The sequence below is a fragment of the Homo sapiens genome, chromosome 20, assembly GCF_000001405.40.
Source record: "Homo sapiens chromosome 20, GRCh38.p14 Primary Assembly".
Classification (NCBI taxonomy): Eukaryota; Metazoa; Chordata; class Mammalia; order Primates; family Hominidae; genus Homo; species Homo sapiens.
In genome coordinates, this window is record NC_000020.11 from 47,138,251 (window position 1) to 47,158,123 (window position 19,873).

Sequence of the window (19,873 nt, forward strand, 5' to 3'; positions counted from 1 at the left end):
CTCTGTGCAACTAGTTTTTATCGTGTTTTTTGAACAGAGGTACCACCTACATAGCTTAAAACAATCTTAGGAAAATCTGAAATAATAAGAATGCTCCAAGAGTAGGTGGGTATTCTAAAGGCTCATCATATAAACATTTGGGTGTCTTCAATCTTTAGAAAAATGTTTAATTACATGATAAGTATTTGAATCCCTTCTCTTTTAAAAAATTCTAGAAGGCTGGGCATGGTGGCTCACGCCTGTAATCCTAGCACTTTGGGAGGCCGAGGTGGGTGGATCGCTTGAGCTCAGGAGTTTGAGACCAGCCTGGGCAACATGGTGAAACCCCTGTCTCTACAAAAAAAAATACAAAAAAATTAGCCAGGCGTGGTGGTGCACACCTGTAGTCCCAATTACTTGGGGGCTGAGGCAGGAGGATCACTTGAACCTGGGAGGTCGAGGCTGCAGTGAGCCAAGATTGTGCCACTCTACTCTGGGTGACAAAGTGAGACCCTGTCTCAAAAAAAAAAAAAATCTAGAATATTCTAGATAATACTGAAGTTCACTTTGACCATCACTTTTAATTCCTGTTCCTTCCTCTCTGCCTTCTAGAAGTAACTGCCTTTCTTTTTGTGTACAGCCTTTCAGATATGTATAAATATGTAAGTGCACATGGAAAATATAGTAACATTTTATGTGTCTCTAATAAACGGTAATAACATACAGTACATAGTACATAATGCAATCAGAAAACTTTTTTTCACTCCAGTGTATTTTTTGATGTGTCCCTGTTAATACATGGAGATCTGGTGCATTTCCTTCCATTGAAATTTCATTTCCCATTGTATGAATAGACCACATTTCATTTTTCAAGTCTGCTTTGAAGTGATAGCTAAATTATTCCCAATCTTTTGCTATTTACTAACAATTCTGTAATGAACATCTTCGATATGTCCCCTTGCTCATGTGTATGAGATTTTCTGTAGGATAGATAATGAAAAGTGGAATTACTGAGTATGTTGCCTGTTATTTTTAAATTGTTAATCCAAGAAATATATGCCTATAGTTTAATATTCATAGTTCTACAAAGGAATATATATGGAAAACAGCAGTCCTCAGTGACTGCCCACCACCCTTTTTTCCTGCCCAGGGGCAACAACTCTTGCTGCTGCCTTTAAAAATGTAACCTCCAAATTATTTTTATTTTATTTTATTTTTTTGGTACGGAGTTTCACTCTTGTTGCCCAGGCTGGAGTGCAGTGGCACAATCTCGGCTCACCACAACCTCCTCCTCCTGGGTTCAAGCAATTCTGCCTCAGCCTCCCGAATAGCTGGGATTACAGGCATGCGCCACCACACCCGGCTAATTTTTGTACTTTTAGTGGAGACGGGGTTTCTCCATGTTGGTCAGGCTGGTCTCGAACTCCTGACCTCAAATGATCTACCCGCCTCGGCCTCCCAAAGCACTGGATTACAGGTGTGAGCCACTGCACCCAGCCTCACTCCCAAATTTCTAAGTAACATCCTTAGGTGCTACTTCTTGATTCTTTTTTTCCCCCCATTGTAGGCATGATCTCTGGCTTCCCAAAATATACTAATTGAGCTCTCTTTTCTCACCCTTGACCCCAACACACACATGCAAACTTTCTCTTCATGTCTTCCCAGTATCAGTCAATCATAACTTGAGCTTTACCAATATGCGGTATTTGCCTTCTTACAACTATATAAATACTCTTCACAGAGAAGTCATTTGGTATGCAATAATTACTTTTCCTTCTCTGTGTGCTGGCCTGGGAGGTGACAACTTTCAGAATAAATCCTTTCAGCAAACAAGTCTGGGTGGCAGCTCCTTCTTGCTTCTTGTCCAGTACATGGAGGGTTGGTAATCAGTGATTAGGTGCACGAATTGCTCCGTCAAAGAGGAGTGTGTGATTGTGCAGAGGTGAAATGCTTTGGATATGAGTAATGCAAAACCTTTTCCCAGGTCACACACGATTCCCTCCTAGGCCCTGAGAAGTTTGTTTTCCTCATTTGCTCTTCATTTTTCACTGAGTACCCTGCCCCATCGACTTCCAGCCAGGACCAAGAGTGCTAAGCTTTGGCTCTCGGGGCCTTGATGAAGTGTTTTGCCTAATGGCTGTGTTCCTGGGCCTGATTCTTCACAGTTGTGTGTGTGAAGCTGAGATCACCAGCTGCATTTTTTTCTTTCTTTTTTTTTAAGGGTCAAAAAGGGTTTATGTCCTTAATTATTTATTTTTATAATAGAAATAATATAGCCTCCAGTGAAAAATTTAAACAGGAAAAGGACTGTATGGAGCAAGGGGACAAGGCCCCTGTCGCTCCTCTCCCAACTCAGCCCCTTTGAGTCCTCAGAAGCAGTGTTGTTCCAGAACCAGATTACCTATGTTCTAATCTCAGCATTTGTTAGCTTGTATGGCCTTGAACAAGTTGCCTAACCTTTGTATGCCTCCATTTTCTCATCTATAAAATGGGTGTTTTAGTCCATTTAGTGTTGCTATAATAGAGTACCTGAGGCTGGATAATTTATAAAGAAAAGGGGTTTATTTGACTTATGATTCTGGGGATCGGCAAGTTCAAGATTGGGTAGCTGTACCTGGTGAGGGCCTCAAGCTGCTTCCATTCATGGTGGAAAGTGGAAGGGGAGTCAACGTGTGCAAAGATCACATGGGGAGAGAGGAAGTCAACTCTTTTAACAACTCACACTCTTGGAAACTAATCTATTCCTGAGAGACTGAGAATTCACTGACTCTCATGGGAAGGCATTAATCTATTCATGACCCAAACACCTCCTACTAGGCCTTACCTCCCAACACTGCCACATTGGAGATCAAATTTCAACACGAGTTGTGACAGGAACAAACCAAATCCAAACCATAGCAATGGAAAAATAATAGTGTTCACCTCACAGAGTTTGGTGGGGATTAAATGAGTTAATACTTATAAAGTGGCACAGAGAAAGCACTTCATAGATATTAGCCAGGAATATTAGCCAGGAATATTATTAACAGTGTGTTTTATATCCTCCTAGACTAGTGGTTCTTAACCTTGACTGCATATTGAAATCTAGACTAGTGGTTCTTAACCTTGACTGCATATTGAAATCACCTGGGGAGCTTTAAACTTCTTGGTGCCTGGACCCTGCTGTCAGCAATTCTGATTTTATTGGTCTGGAGAGCAGCCTGGGCATCAGGATTTTTAAAGGCTTCTCAGAGCATCACAATATGTATCCAGGGGTGGAAACCATTGTGCTGCATATTTTCCATGTGTATCGGTTAGGATAGGTAAGGGCATGCTGCAGTAACAAACATCCCCAAAATCTCATCTACTTCTCATTTATGATACATGTCCATTGTGGTCAGCTGTATCTCTGATCCACATCATCTTTATTCTGGAACCCAAGCCAACAGAATATGTGTGGGCATTGGTGAACATAGCTGCCTTCCAGGCTAACAGAATAAATATCCAGAATACTTGCAGCCTTGTGAAGTGAGAAAAGAGAGTGCATGGGGAAGTGTGCACTGGCTCCTAAAAACTTCTGATCAAAAGTGAAACATAACTTTTGCCCACATATCACTGGCCAAAGCAAGTTGCATGGTCCAATTTCTAAGTAACATGCGTATGTGCTCCTTCTTGTAGCACATACAAGAAGTATGTTTTTTCAGTTGTAGGTATGATCTCTTGCTTCCCAAAATAGAAGAATTGAGCTCTCTTTTCTCACCCTTGACCCCATCACACATATGCAAACGTTCTCTTCATGTCCTCCCAATATTAATCAATCATAACCTGAATTGAACAGGGAGGGTATGTGTCAGCGGCTGGATGGTAAATATTTTAGGCTTTGTGGGACACACAGTCTACTCACCTCTGACTTTGTAGTACAGTGTAGACAATACACTGATTTTCTAAAAAAATGTAAAAACCATTCTTAACTCATTAGTCATACAAAAACAAGCAGCAGGCCAGGTATGGCGTGGGGGCTGCAGCTTGCCAACCCCTGCTACATGTCCTCCTTTTGCAGGGAGAAGCACCTCAGGGAGGGACCCCAAATATGGGTGAACAGCAGTACAGTCTACCACACTGTGTATACAGAAAGGAGGCACTTTCATTGCACAAGTGTGCAAATTCATACGTTATGCTGTGTTGCAGCTTGCTTTTGTTACTTAGTACTGTATCTCTTGATGACAGTTTCATATCAGTAACTCCAGAATGACTTCGTTTGTATAATGGCTGCCTAGTTTTCCCTCCTATGAATGTACCATAGTGCCTTTGTGTTTGTGTGTTTTTATCATTAACCCTCTATTGTTGGATAACAGGGATTTTTTTAAATATCAAGAGGAGGGAGTAAGGCAGTGTGCCTAGAGAGATTGTTGGAGAGAGAGACTCAACATCCCAACTCTCCCAGTAGTTTATACTGAAATCTTCCAGACCTCCCTGAAAACAAAAATGTGTTGGGGGCAACCCCTGAAAACATGCATTTGCCAGGAGGCCCTGTTTTATTACAGCCATATCATATCTGTGATAAGTGTCCTTGCAACGCTGAACACTGTTGCAATCCCAGGGTCATTTTCCAGGAGATTTAAATACTGGAAAGGGTAAAAAGAAATGGTGAAAACTGGAAGTGAGATCCCGGAAGCTGTACAACATGATTATCACACCGGCCTCACACAGAGACTCATTTTAGGCCACGCGTGAGCCGAGCAGATGAGGAAAAACCAAAACTGCTTTTCGGCAGTGGAATGGGACCAAAAGGGTAGCTAAGATTCCTCAGGCTCCGCGTGCATGTGATTTTCCCCTTCTCTGCCTCGCAGGACACCACGACGTCCGTGCGCATTGGCCTTATGATGGAAGAGATGATCTTCAACCTTGCAGATACACATCTGTTCTTCAATGACCTGGAGGTTTGTGGTTGCTGATTTCATTTAATATTTGCCATGTTTAATCACCTGCATCTAGTTTATGGGAAGAAGGATGCTGCCTTTCCTTTCTTTTTCTTTTTCTTTTTTTCTCCTTTTTCTTTTAGAAGCTTGAAACTTTTGCTAACAACCCCCAAAAAGGCCCAAAACTGTGGCCGGTGATGGTTTATTGGAAACACACTTAGCTCAATTATCTCCCTAGCTTTCCTGTGCAGTTAACGGGCTCTTCTCTGTTCCAGTGGTAGTGTCCACTGGCAGTTTTACTAATCCAATAATGGCTATGTAGTTTCTTCCTCCTGAAATTTGCTATTTAATAAGTTTATTAAGGCAAATTAGTACAGATCCTCCTGGGTCAGTAATAATTAGCAGTGGCCCAGGGTGGAAGCTTTTAAAAACAATTTACATTCCCCTGAAAGCATGTTTTATAAAGAGAAAGAGTGAGAGTGAGCAGAGGGAATATGCTTATTTAAAGTATCTGCTCCTGAGCCCGTAAGCAAGATCCAAGGGAGATAGGGAAAAAAGCGGGAGAGCAGCTTCAAAAATAAATTGAATTCATTTGTTTATACCCAGCCTATGTCAGAAAGGATTTCGAATGGGAAACATATTTAGAATAGAACTAGTAACACAAAGGCAAGCGGAAGCAAAGCTATGTCATGAATAAGGGTAAGACATTGCACAAAAAAAATCCAGGCTCAGGCTAACTATTGCAATCAAGTTCAGAGTGTATCACTTCCTGGTAGCCAAAGTAAAGAGGGAAATACAATGAGTTACTTCTCTCTAATGAAAGAGCAAGCAACTTTCTCCAACGTGAAGAAGGGGTTTTGGCTGATAAAAGGATCAGTAAGGAAATCTTCTGGCTTTGTAAATTATGTTCACCTTATTGGTTCAACAGATTGAAAAGTAAAGGCAACCGGCCGGGCGCGGTGGCTCACGCCTGTAATCCCAGCACTTTGGGAGGCCGAGGCGGGTGGATCACAAGGTCAGGAGATCGAGACCATCCTGGCTAACATGGCGAAACCCCGTCTCTACTAAAAATACAAAAATTAGCCGGGCATGGTGGCGGGCACCTTTAGTCCCAGCTACGCAGGAGGCTGAGGCAGGAGAGTAGCGTGAACCCGGAAGGCGGACCTTGCGGTGAGCAGAGATCGTGCCACTGCACTCCAGCCTGGCAACAGAGCAAGACACCATCAAAAAAAAAAAAAAAGAAAGAAAAAGAAAGGCAATCTAAAATAAAACTGTATACAAAAAAACAATTCTATTTCTCTTAGTAGGAATATTTTTTCCCGGAATCTGGAATATCCCTGGGGACTAAACTGAAGTAGAAATATAAAGGTTATGGATTTCAAATCCATCCTGGCTAGCCCAAGGCACTACTAATATTTATCATTAGGAAAGCATACAGATTTTTCTTTCTAGTCTGCAGGCTGGAGTTCCAGAGAGAGGAATCCTTGCTGAAATAATCAGTCTTGTGTTTTGTCTAATCTATGTAAGCCTCTTGGGCCTCAGTCTTCACATCTATAAAATGGAATTGGTATTCTTTGCCCAACATCTGTTTCAAAGAGCAGAACTAGGTAGAAACTTGAGGAAGAAAGAGAGCTTTGGAGCAATGGAGAATAAATACCATTGGCTTCAAGGCTTGGGACTGTCTCTATTCAAAAGCAAAGTTCAGGCTCGCTTCACGATGACGTCTATGGCTCGAAGGACACAAGAGAGAAAACAAACAAACAAAAACTGTGGCCGTTGAATTCAGTGAGTATTTATGGAGCCTAATGCGGTAAAGACTCAGCCGATTGCAAAGATCAAAACCCAACTCGTTTTAACCAAAAGTGGAAATTATTGGCCCTTGTAGTTGAAAAGTCCAGGGTTGTTTTCATTCTTGCTTATTGCCCCCACTTCTGTGAGAACAGGGACCACTCTGTGTGATTGACCCTGAATCTCTAGGGCCCAGGCAGTAAACAACCAAACAAATCCATAAACAAGACCATTTATGATAATAAAAAGGATATGAAGAAAATAAAATAATCAGATGTGAGAACAAGTGATGGGGATGGAGGAGGGTTGGGGGGCAGCATTCTTGAGGGGGCCGGTCCAGGGAAGGCCTCTTAAGGCAGTAGCACTTGAACCAAAGGATGACAAGCACCCATTCAGATGGAGATCGGGGGCAGTGGGGCGGGGACAGCAAGTGCAAAGGTCCTGAGTGAGAACAAGCATGAAGGCCCCTGGGATCAGAGAGAAGGCATGGAGGCCGAAGTGCAGGAGTAAAAGTATGGAGGTGGCCAGGATAGATGAGCCTGGGGCAGGAGATATTACAGCAATCGAAGCTCATTCTAAGTGCCTTGGACATCTCTGGGGCAAGCTGATATTAAGAAGGAAAAGCCACATGGTCTGGGTTGTGTGTTAAAAAGACCTCTCTGGCTGCTGTGTGGAGAATGGGCAGTCAGAGGAGAAATGTGGTCTGGGCATGGTGGCTCACACCTGTAATCCCAGCACTTTGGGAGGCCAAGGCGGGTGGATCACTTGAGATCAGGAGTTCAAGACCAGCCTGGCCAACATGATGAAACCCTGTCTCTACTAAAAATACAAAAATATTAGCCAGGTGTGGTGGCGGGTGCCTGTAATCCCAGCTACTCAGGAAGCTGAGGCAGGAGAATCACTTGAACCCAGGAGGCAGAGGTTGCAGTGAGCTGAGATCAAGCCACTGTATTCCAGCCTGGGCGACAGATTGAAACTCCATCTTAAAAAAAAAAAAAGTAAAAAAGAAAAGAAATGTGGAGGCAGAGAGACCAGCCAAGAGGCTACTGCAATAGTCCAAGCAAGAGAAGAAAATGGACTGGATCCAGGTGGTAGGAAGACGTGGACTTGAGGGTGAGGTGAAGCCAAGAGGACTTGCTGATAGACTAGATGTGGAGGTTGGGGGAGAGAGAGGTGGCAAGGACTCCTGGGCTTGATCTGACCAGGATGTGTTGTCCTTCACTGAGATGGGCAAAACAGAAGAGGTGTTTGGTATGCAGTGGAGGATCCCATCCCCCTGTCTGGGGTACGTGGGGTTTGAGATGTCTGAGACACCCTGGTGAAGATGCCAGATCAGGCAGCAGATAGATGAGTTTGAACCTCCACTGCAGTAACAACACCAGGCATGGAATAGGCGCCTTGTGGATCTTGGTTGAACCTGCGACTCAAAGCCAGGTATTTTGTGGGATTTCTGTGTATTTCAAGCTGATGTCTTCAGAGTCTTGCCCCACTCTGCTGTTTCTGTCTGGCCCCTGAAGTCGAAGTTGCACCTCTGGAAGGAGGATCTTAATTACCAGCTGGAGCTACTTAGGGAAGCCAGTTTGTTTTTATTTTCTAAATTTATTTCGAAAATGTCCCAGTGCCAGAAGCCCCCCAGGGCACCTCAGCAGAATTGAAACCACGTTATACGATGATGAAGTTAAAATCCACACAAGTGAAAACATATTGTTTGTTGGTGCAAGGCAGTCCCTGTCAAAATCTAAAGCACAGCCTTCTGCAGCTGCCCAGGGAAGCTGTGTGGACCAGAGAGAGGCGTGCTCAAGGCCCGGCAAAGCCAGAAGCCTTTGTTCTCCGAGCCTGTAGTAGTACCACCTGTAAGGGAGTTCCTTCCCGCGTCCAGCAGCGCTTTATGAAGGGCTTACCATTTGCCAGGCCCTAATGGAATGCTGTGGATTCAGCAGCAAACCAAACACAGCAAGACCCGTGCCCACAAGGCATTGACCTTCCAGTTCAGGAGGCTGACCATAAACAATGGAATGCAAAGTATAATGTCAGAGCAAAGTGCTCTGAAGAGAGACCAAGAGAGTCAGGGAGGAGGCTCTCACCAGGGCTTTTGTTTTGTGGTTTTTACTTGTTATATCCAGGAGAGGCTCCTCTGACTTTTTTTTTTTTTTTTTTTTTGAGACAGTCTCACTCTGTTGTCCAGGCTGGAGGTACGATCTTGTCGCACTGCAACCTCTGCCTCCTGGGTTCAAGCGATTCTCCTGCCTCAGCCTCCCAAGTAGTTGAGATTACAGGCACACGCCACCATGTCCAGCTAATTTTTGTATTTTTAGTAGAAACAGGGCTTCACCTTGTTGGGCACGGTGGTCTCGAACTCCTGACCTCAAGTGATCCACCCTCCTCAACCCCCAAAATACCAAAGTACTGGGATTACAGGTGTGAGCCACCGCACCCAGGCTCTTCTGACTTTTGAGCAAAGACCTGAAGGAGGTGGAGGAGGAGGCCATGCCGATATCTGGGTGAAGAGTGTTCCAGATAGAAGCACTGTGCAAAGGCCAAGGTATGATTAGAGTTGATGGGCTCCAGAAACTGGGAGGAAACCAGCAAGACTGAAGCAGAGGGAACAGGAAGAATTGTGGTGGGCAATGAGGGTGACGCCTTTGGGCCATTGTAAGGCTTTGGGTAACAGCCAAGGGTGACAAAAGCCACTGGAGGGTTTGGAACAACATGATGTGACTTTGGTTCAGAAGCTGCCTCTGGCTGCCTGGTGGAGAACAGACTCCAGAGGACAAGGATTGAAGCAGGCATCCGCATTAAATCAGCAACTTCCAGACTCCCAGGGGAAAGAATCTGTGGGGTTTAAAGAATGGTCCAGGATTGGCCTGGTGCGGTGGCTCACGCCTGTAGTCCTAACACTTTGGGAGGCCGAGGCGGGTGGATCACTTGAGGTCAGGAGTTCAAGACCAGCCTGGCCAACATGGTGAAACCCCGTCTTTACTAAAAATACAAAAATTAGCCAGGTGTGGTAGCAGGCGCCTGTAATCCCAGCTACCCAGGAGGCTGGGGCAGGAGAATCACTGGAACCCAGGAGGCGGAAGCTGCAGTGAGCAGAGATCGCCCCACTGTACTCCAGCCTGGGCGACAGAGCAAGACTCTGTCTCAAAAAAAAAAAAAAAGAATAAAAAAAAATGGTCCGGGACACAGAAGGTGCCACATGCAGCTGTATCTTAGGATATTCTGCACGCATGTCCCAAGTTGAGGACAAAAGCCTTCTAATCAGTTCCATCTGCTGTTGAGTCCTGGATCCACCATCTCCTAACCTGGGCAAGTCTCTCCATCCCTCTGAGCCTCAGTTTGCTCATCTGTTAAATGGGTGGAAGAAAAGCCCCCACCATCTAGGGCTGTAAGGATGGAGCTATGTGAAAGCAGTCAGCACAGAGCCTGGCATACCTGCCCAATGTGGGGGCCTTTCCACCAGGGGGCTACAGGGGCTACATGTGTCCCTGGGGATAGGCAAGTGGGGGTTCTATGGTACCAGGGCAAATTGTTTAATTGCTACATATTTATTTTACTGTGAATTAGAAAACTATAACTAGCTTGCCGACCCCTGATTTTACAATCATTTTATAAAAGTATAGGCAACAGAAATATGACAAAGATGATGACAGTCATGAGCAGACCAGGCCTGGGTCCCAGCCAACTGCTGCAGCTTGGGCATAAATATCGACACTCCCTCCCCTGCTCCCTGCCACTTTGCCTTTGTGCAAGAGCTGCTGATTTTGCAGCTCTTACTTTGCAGGGCAGGTGAACCCTCCTCTGAAATGTCACCTGGGTCATGGGTAAGGGTGGATGTTGGGTTAAAATTCAAGCACCTGCTCAAGATCTGTCAAAACTGTCCTCCAGCCCCACTCTACTGCACTCACTCTGAAAGCTGTTCATGGGAAGCCCCCAAGCCCTACTTCACAGGGATGTGCCACTGTCGAGTCAGAGCTGGACCTAGGTCTGCGGCCTCTGTCCCAGCCAAGCAGGGACCCCTTAGGTTTTGACTTCTGGGCTCGGATGCAGCCAGGAGGAGATACTGTTCAGCCCTGCCCTGTGAGAAGAAGAGATTGGGGAGGCCTGGCAGCCGAGACTGTGCTACTGCACTCCAGCCTGGGCGATAGAGGGAGACTCCATCTCCAAAAAACAAAAAAAAAAAACAAGTATTATTTATGTTTTGAGATGTCACAACTTTAATTTAAAATACATTTAAAACCTAGATTTATGTTGAATGGCTGAAATTTTATAGGCAGTGTGATTAAAGATGATTCCAAATTTCAGCAAGGGGACATTTAGTTCGGGCATGAAAAAGAAGTTAACAAGCAAAGGTACCTATAAACAAAGGCATCATAAATAGATATAAAGCCAGAAGAAAAGGGATCTAAAGTAGACAGAGAAGATAGGCTGACTCTCCAGTTGCAGATTTTCATTATCAGCTCATCACACCACCGAAACTCTCTGGTGATTTGCTATCCACATCCATGGCGTTTGGTGGCCCTAAAGATTGTAACGGCCCCCATCCTCTTGGTTAAAATGGCAGGTGTGTTGACAAGAACTGTCTTAGGTACCCCCTGCCTGCTGGGCATCACATTCTTCTTGGTATATATTAAAAGAACACAAGTTTGGGCCAGGCACGATGGCTCATGCCTGTAATCCCAGCACTTTGGGAGGCTGAGACAGTGGATCATTTGCGGTCAGGAGTTCAAGACCAGCCTCGCCAACATGGCAAAACCCCATCTCTACTAAAAATACAAAAAAAAAAAAAAAAAAAAAAATTAGCCAAGCAGGGTGGCGTGCACCTGTAATCTCAGTTACTTGGGAGGCTGAGGCAGCAGAAACCAGGAGGCGGAGGTTGCAGTGAGCCGAGATCACACCACTGCAGTCCAGACTGGGCAACAGAGCAAGACTTCATCTCAAAATAAGTAAATAAATACATACATACACACATACACACACGCAAGATTTGCAGGCAAGATGCAGCAGGACTGAGGAGGGGGCCTTCCTTGCTCTCCCTTGCCTTAGCAGGCAATCTGTCAATGTCAGGGTGTCCTCTGGAAGCCAGGAGGTGTGCCTGAGTGAGGTGCTGTCCCTGAAGAAGATGTCCAGGGGCTGGCATGGTGAGGGCAGTAGTAAGAGGGAGGCAAAGAGTTTGGCCCCAGGAGGGTGGAATTAATGCATCTGGCCAGGGAGTCAATGGTCGCACAGCAGTGGCTGAGGTTGGAGGCACCTGGCGTCATCCTGCCTCACCTGAGTTTCTGCTGCATTCTCTGGTCCTGGCCCCTGTCCGCTTCTCTTCACTCCCCTTGCCATTACCTCTGTGGTCTAAGTCACCATCATCTTTCTCTTGGACGTCATCACGGCCTTCTCACTGTCCCCCTGCTGTCTATGAATTAGGATACAAGCTCATCAAAATAAAGAGGCTTAAGTACAACACAGATCTGTTTCTCTCTCATGAGGAAATCTGAAATGTGAACAGTCTAGGGCCAGAAAGGCAGCTCTTCCATGCCAGAAGCCCAGGCACAGCGGCTTCCTTTTCCCCCACCCCCCGAAAGACAGGGTCTTACTCTGTCACCCAAGCTGGAGTGCAGTGGCATGGTCATGGCTCACTGCAGCCTCGACCTCCTGGGCTCAAGCCATCCTCCCACCTCAGCCTCCTGAGTAGCTGGGACTATAGGCAGGCGTCACCATGCTCCGCTAATATTTTTATTTTCTGTAGAGATGGAGTCTCCTATGCTACCCAGGCTGGTCTCAAATTCGTAGTCTCAAGGAATCCTCCTGCCTTGGGCTCTCAAACTGCTGGGATTACAGGCATGAGCCACCTATTCCAGGCACATTCCAGGCAGCAGGGAAAAGGAGGCAGAGACAGAGAAGGGCACCACCCAGCGGTTGCAGTTCTCTCTTCTGCTCACACCCCATTGGCCTTAACATAGTCACTTGGCCACACCTTCCAAGGCAAGGGAGCCTGGGAAATGTAGTCTTTATTCTGGACAGTCACGTGCCAATAAAAACTGCTACTAATAAAGGGGGAAGTGAATTGGGTATTGAGGGTCAGCTGGCAGTCTCATCCTGACACCTTTCCTCGGTTTTCATCACAGTAGCCAGAGAGGTGAAAAGGAAAGCTGAACATGTCACCTGCTTAAAACTCTTCAGTAGGCTGGGCACAGTTGTTTGCGCCTGTAATCCCAGCACTTTGGAAGGTCGAAGCAGGTGTATCACTTGAGGTCAGGAGTTCATGACCAGCCTGGCCAACATGGCAAAAGCCTGTCTCTACTAAAAATACAAAAACTAGCAGGTCATCGTGGTGGGCACCTGTAATCCCAGCTACTCGGTAGGCTGAGGCAGGAGAATCGCTTGAAACCAGGAGGCAGAGGTTGCAGTGAGGCAAGATCACACCTCTGCACTCCAGCCTGGGCAACAGAGCGAGACTCCATCTCAAAAAAAAAAAGCTCTTCAGTGAGCTATTATGGACTGACCCCACCTGCCTCTCCAGACTCTTTTTCTCCTACTCTTTTCATCATTTGCTCCACTCCAGATCCAATGGTCTTTTTTTAATTCCTTGAACATCCATGCTCCCCACTACCTTAAGATTCTGCCCACGCCATGCCCTCTGTATGGAACACGCTTCCCCACCATTCTCCCCTCCTCTTGTTCTCAAGGTCCAAGGCCTCGCCAGTTCCTATGCACCTCTTAAATCTCTGAACCAGTTCCATGTCCTTAGGGAAGTCTTACCCGATTCCCCTCAAAAGGTTAGATTCTGCCATCATATGCTCCCAGGACGCCTCATACTTATGCGGTACATTTTGTACTCTTTGTAACCATTTCATAATTATTTAAAGTAATTGATGTGAATTCTGTGTTCCCCACCAGCTGTGTATTCCAGGAGGGCAGAGAACATGTCCACTGTGTTCACTGCTATAACTGGCACATAGTAGGTGATCAGTAAATCGTTGTTTCTTGACGGTTGATGATCTTGCCCTACGACCCCATCCATGGTAACAACTGCCTTCTGGAATTTCTAACTTTCAGGAAACTGACTTTGTTTATGTGCCTTTGACTTTATTAGAAATTAAGTAGGTTAACGTCGTCCATACAAAACAGGATGTATTTCTCTTATCTGCAGAACTCTAGAGGTTAGCAATCCAGGGACCTCTTCTCGACGAAGAGCTCAGATTCCTGCCAGCACTTAATTCTCACCTCCTATTTTACAGACCTCAATTTCCATTTACTGCATTTTCTTCTCCTCAAATCCTGGTTTCTGGTTCTGCAACCTCAGCCGGGTGCCTGGACTCTGACCCATTCTCCTCATTTGCTAGATCCTCTAGTCTGGCATGTTTGCCCTGGATTATTCCTCCACGCTGTACACATACCTCCTACCACCTGTATTGTGAATTACCAGCCCTGCTCCTTAGCAGTGTCATTTGTGTGTTGGGAGGACAGGGGAGTGTACCTTTTTTTTTTTTTTTCTCAAAGAGTGGGCATTCTGAATGTTCTCATTCACATTAGTGTCAGTGTGTTTAACTAGACCAGCATTCCCACCTGAGGGCAGCCCCATCCCTTGGATGGATAGGGGGGCGCATTAGAAACTAGGGGTGGGGCCAGGCATGGTGGCTCACGCCAGTAATCCCAGCACTTTGGGAGGCTGAGGTGGCAGATCACTTGAGGTCAGGGCTTCGAGACCAGCCTGGCCAACATGGTGAAACCCCGTCTCTACTAATAATACAAAAATTAGATGGGTGTGGCAGCGGGTGCCTGTAATCCCAGCTACTCAGGAGGCTGAGGCACGAGAATCACTCGAACCCAGGAGGCAATGGTCGCGGTGAGCCGAGATCGCGCCACTGCACTTCAGCCTGGGTGATGGAGCAAGACTCAGTCTCAAAAAAAAAAAAAGAAAGAAAAGAAAAAAAGAAACTGGGGGTGGGTGGGAGGCAGAGATTGCATTGAGCCAAAATCACACCACTTCACTCCAGCCTGGGTGACACAGTTGAGACTCTGTCTCAAAAGAAAAAAAAAAGAAAGAAACTGGGGGTTGGGGTAGTTGGTTGTCACATGAAGGGAAAGCACTGTTTGCTTTTAGAGGCCGGGCCAGCAATACCACTCAACCCAATATGTTGGACAGTCTTGTACAAAGTGGAATTGTCCCACCCAAATGCCCACCACACTGAGTCCCTGAGAGATGTCAGTCAGCTGAGCAGTATTTATGGATGCCTTGTGCACAGCATGATCCAGGTTTCATGTGGTTTGCTCTTAATTAAAATACAAAACAAAACAAAACAAAAAACCACTTTGTTAAATGTATGGCTTTTTCTTACTCGTGTTTTAGGGGAAAAATGACCAGTACATCAAACCAGTGATGTCATAGGTAATGATGCCCAGGATGAAGCGTAGGTTTGTGAAAGAGCATCAGTGTAAAGATAAATGAGGAGGCCAAGCGCAGTGGCTCATGCCTGTAATCCTAGCACTTTTGGAGGCTGAGGCGGGAGGATCACTTGAGCACAGGAGTTTGAGACCAGCCTGGGCAACATGACAAAACCCCATATCTTCAAAAAATACAAAAAAAAACAAAACAAAATTAGCCGGGCATGGTGATGAGTGCCTATAGTCCCAGCTACTTGGGAGGCTGAGGTAGAGGATCAATTGAGCCTGGGAGGTTGAAGCTGCAGTGAGCTAGCTGTGATCACACCATTGCACTTCAGCCTGGGTGACAGAGCAAGAATATCTCAGAAAAAAAAAAGACTGAGAAGTTAGTGAAAGTGGGGACTCCTCTATGGCTAAATCCGTGAAGGTGCGACATGAAGGAGCATGGCTGTATCCGGGTGAGTGCCATCCACTAAGAGGCCTGGCACCGTGGAAGGAATGGGATACTATTTGGGATCAGAGGACCTAAGTTCCAATTCTGACCTTGATTCTTCTGAGCTCTAAGACCTTGAAGGAGGTATTTAACTTGGCTGACTTTCCACTTCTTCGTCTGAACCAGATCTCAATAATAACTGACATTTACTGAGCACTCACTACATACCAGGCACTGTTCTAGCTGGCTTGTATGTTTCACTTTATTTAATCCTATTATGATCCCCATTATACTAGTCTGCTCAGTCTGTCCTAATAAAATACCATGGAGCGGGTGGCTTACACGACAGAAATTTTCTTTCTCCCAGTTCTGCAGGCTGGAAGTCCATGATCCAGGTGCTGGCAAAGTTGGTTTCTGGTGAGGGCCCTCTTCTTGGCTTGCAGATGGCTGCATTTTTGCTGTGTCTTCACCCGGCCTTTCCTCAATGCATGTACATGGAGAGAGAGCCAGAGAGAGAAAACAGCTGTCTGGTGTCTCCTCTAACAAGGACACCAATCCCATTGGGTTAGGGCCCCACCCTGTGACCTCACTTAAACTTAATTACTTCCTTAGAGGCCCTACCTCTAAATACAGCCACATAGGGAGGTTAGATTTTCAACATATGAATTTTGGGAGGAGACACAAACGTTCAGTTCATAACATCCATTTTACAAATGAGGAAACTGAGGCAGAGAGTGGCTAAGTGAACAGCCCAAGTCACATAGTTGGCAGTGGCAATATTCAGACCCAGGTGGCCTGGCTCCAGAGACCCTGCCCTTACCCATGGTGCTGTGTTGCCCCTGCCAGGGACAGTGATGTCCGTCTGGTTTGAGAAAAAGGATTCCCAGTAAGAATTTAGGAGCTCGTGCAGTGCCGCAGACAGTGGACTCAAAGGAAGAAAAGAAAGTGCAAGGGAGGCTGGAGTCACTGAGAAGTGTGGTGGCGGAAAGCCAAGATCTGACACCAGGAGGAGGAGGAAGTCCCAATGTTCATGGAGAAAACAAATATTTTTCATCTCTTTGGGTTTTTCTGATTTTGTTTTTGTTTATTTTGTTTTGTGTGTGTGTGTGTGTGTGTGTGTGTGTGTGTGTGTGTGTTTTGAGATGGAGCCTCGCTCTGTCTCTCAGGCTGGAGTGCAGTGCTGCGATCTCAGCTCACTGCAACCTTCACCTCCCTGGTTCAAGCAATTCTCATGCCTCAGCCTCCCGAGTAGTTGGGACCACCAGCTGATAGCTCCTAAAGCCACCACACCTGGCTAATTCTTGTATTTTTAGTAGAGACAGGGTTTCACCATGTTGGTCAGGCTGGTCTCAAACTCCCGACCTCAAGTGATCCACCCACTTCAGCCTCCCAAAGTGCTGGGATTACAGGCGTGAGCCGCCGCACCTGGCCAAGATTTTTCATGTCTTTGTAAGATGAAAAATCGAATTATTAGATTCCTCTGCTGTGAGTTTGCATAGCACCTTATGCAAAGTAAAACTCACACAAATAGCAACAAGCAACCACATGAACACGACAGCATCCTTCACTCCCCGCTGAGGGGATGAATCGCCTGGAGGTGATCAAAGCAATGTGCAAGGGATCTGAATGCACCTTCTAGAAAAGACATGTTACTCCCACATGCTGAGTGCACATGTGGGAGTAACAAGCACAATCCCGATGGGAGCTAGTGTGTCCTGCATGCGACTGTGTGCCTGGCAGTGACTGAAGGGCTTGTCTGTACCCATTCATTAACCCTTACAACAACCACAGAGGGCAGGTACTGTTATGTATCCCCATGTTAGAGATGGGGAAACTGAGGCACAGAGCGGTTCACTTGTGCGACAGCTGACGCATATCAAGCTCTTCTTTTGCACCAGGCATTGCGCATGAACCATCTCACCGCATCCTCACAGCAGCCCTGCAAAGGAGATGGTTTTTTCAATCTCCATTTTACAGATGAGGAAACTGAGGCCCAGAAAGATCCCTTTCCCAGGGTCACACAGCTAGTAAGAAGAATGTGGAGATTTGATCCCAGGCCAAATGACTTCTCTGCTAATGTCTATCTTTCATGGAGAATAGAGTTTGAGATGAACTAGGAAGTGGAGAACATGCATCAACTGAATGGATGGAAGAAAAGAGTCTTTCAGGGGGCCAGCCATGGTGGCTCATGCCTGTAATCCCAGCACTTTGGGAGACCAAGGTGGGCAGGTCACTTGAGGTCAGGAGTTCAAGACCAGCCCAGCCAATGTGGCGAAATCCCGTCTCTACTTAAATATATATATATATACATACACACACACACACACATATATATACATACACACACACACACATATATATACATACACACACACACACACACACACACACACACACACACACATATATATATATATATATATATATATATATATATATATATATATATATATATATATATTAGCCGGGCATGGTGGTGCATGCCTGTAGTCCCAGCTACTCGGGAGGCTAAGGCAGGAGAATTGCCTGAGCCCGGGAGACAGAGGTTGCAGTGAGCCAAGATAGCACCACTGCACTCCAGCCTGGGCAACAGAGCAAGACTCCATCTCAAAAAATAAAAAAATAAGGAAAGAGCCTTTCAGGAGAAACAAGGTAACGCTAAAGATCTTTGGCAAAAGGTATCCCTAGCCTGACGCAGGAATGGCCAGGCATTCGGGCAGGCTGGAAGGGGAGCATTTCAAGATGCAGCCAGGGCTTTAGGAAAGACCATGCCGGAGAGACTCAGAAGTTGCTGAAATCAGGGCAGCCATGGCTGCTTGCCTGACACATGAGCCTGGTTGCTAAACGTGTGATTTATCCTGATAGCTTTAGGAGCCATCAGGAAAATAATATGTCACTGTGTTAACACTGAACTCTCTCCAAAGCATCCTGCCCAATGGTCATTAATACAATTCAGGCCACAGCCTCTTTAGCGCTCTTAAGATAAGTTAAACACTTAGCACAAGAGATGTGGCCCAGGTTTCCCTCCCAGGGAGTAGACTCCTCTCTGGCTAGTCTGGAGGCAGCATTAAGCAATCTCACTTGAAAAATATACCTGCCTCAGAGGAGAAGGAGCAGCCAGGAAGTTCATCGGGGCCCTGATGAGCATCATTTTTCTAACGCAAATTTGTCAACAATTTCTGCATTCATGTCTCCAAGCAGCCAAAGACAAAAAGTAATGGAATCAAACCACAGCAGGAGAGTTTGAGAAACCCCAGCTGTCACCAGCTCAATCAGAACAGGTTTTGATAAGTATTTGTCACTGAGTTTACTGATCAGCAACGTGCAACAACAGTAATACTAAGTATCGGCTGGGGATGGTGGCTCATGCCTGTAATTCCAGCATTTTGGGAAGCTGAGGAGGGCAGATCACTTGAGGTCAGGAGTTCGAGACCAGACTGGCCAAGATGGTGAAACCTCATCTCTACTAAAAATACAAAAATTAGCCAGGCATAGTGGTGCACGCTGTAGTCCCAGCTACTCAGGAGGCTGAGGCAGAACAATCACTTGAACCCAGGAGGCGGAGGTTGCAGTGAGCCGAGATTGCACAACTGCACTCCAGCCTTGGTGACAGAGCAAGACTCCGTCTCAAAAAAAAAAAAAAAAAAAAAAAAAAAGAGTACTAAGTATCATACCTGTGGGATGCAGAAGGGCAGTCCAGATTGGCATTTACAGTCCTAAATGACATTTGTTAGAAAAACAGGAAAATTCATAAGAATAATTGGAAAGACCGTTAAAATAGATAAGGCTTTAGCAAGCTTAATCAAAGGGGAAAAGAGAGAGATCAATAAACAACATCCAGAATGAAAGGGTGGACATTACTAAAATCCAGGGGAGGTTGTTTCTTTTAATTACAAGAATGCCAGGCACACTGTTTTACCAATGAATTTGAAAATCTAGGTGAGATTGACACTTTTCAGGAAGACACAAATTACTGAAATTAGCCCAAGTGGAAATAAAAATAAATACAACAAACCAAAGATCATGAAAATTTGTTAAATCATTAAAGAGAAAGTGCGTTTTTGGTGCCCCCACCAAAAAAGGCACCAGGTCCCACTGGTTTTAAACAAGAGTTCCAACAAAACTTCAAGGAAAGGATAAATCTCATCCAGCATAAACTACAGAGCAAAGAAAAAGATGGAATGCTCTCCCACACATTTTATAAGACTAACATCACCCTAAAGCTGACACTGGAGTTACAGCGCATATGACAAATGGACAAATTGCGGTCGTCGCTGCTGAAGTTGGAAGGCCCCTGCGATCCCAGCACCTACCTTCATCCATGCCCTGTGACTCTTTACAGAAGTTTTCTGCAGATCCTGTCTGAGCTTTAGTTTCCACACTGGTGAAAAGAGGGGTC

The 19,873-nt window shown here is 45.7% G+C and overlaps 1 protein-coding gene across 5 annotated transcripts in view; it reads left to right on the forward strand.

Moving 5' to 3' along the window:
• The window catches only part of EYA2 (EYA transcriptional coactivator and phosphatase 2), a 294,002-nt gene that overhangs the window by 243,408 nt on the left and 30,721 nt on the right, over positions 1–19,873 (forward strand). For 4 of the 5 annotated variants that reach the window (NM_005244.5, NM_172110.4, XM_005260327.3 and 1 more), the window contains one exon: positions 4,809–4,898. The exons of the other annotated variant lie outside the window; for it this stretch is intronic. In NM_005244.5, the coding sequence (NP_005235.3) occupies positions 4,809–4,898 (90 nt within the window). The remainder of the gene's footprint in view (positions 1–4,808; positions 4,899–19,873) is intronic. 5 annotated transcript variants of the gene reach the window in all.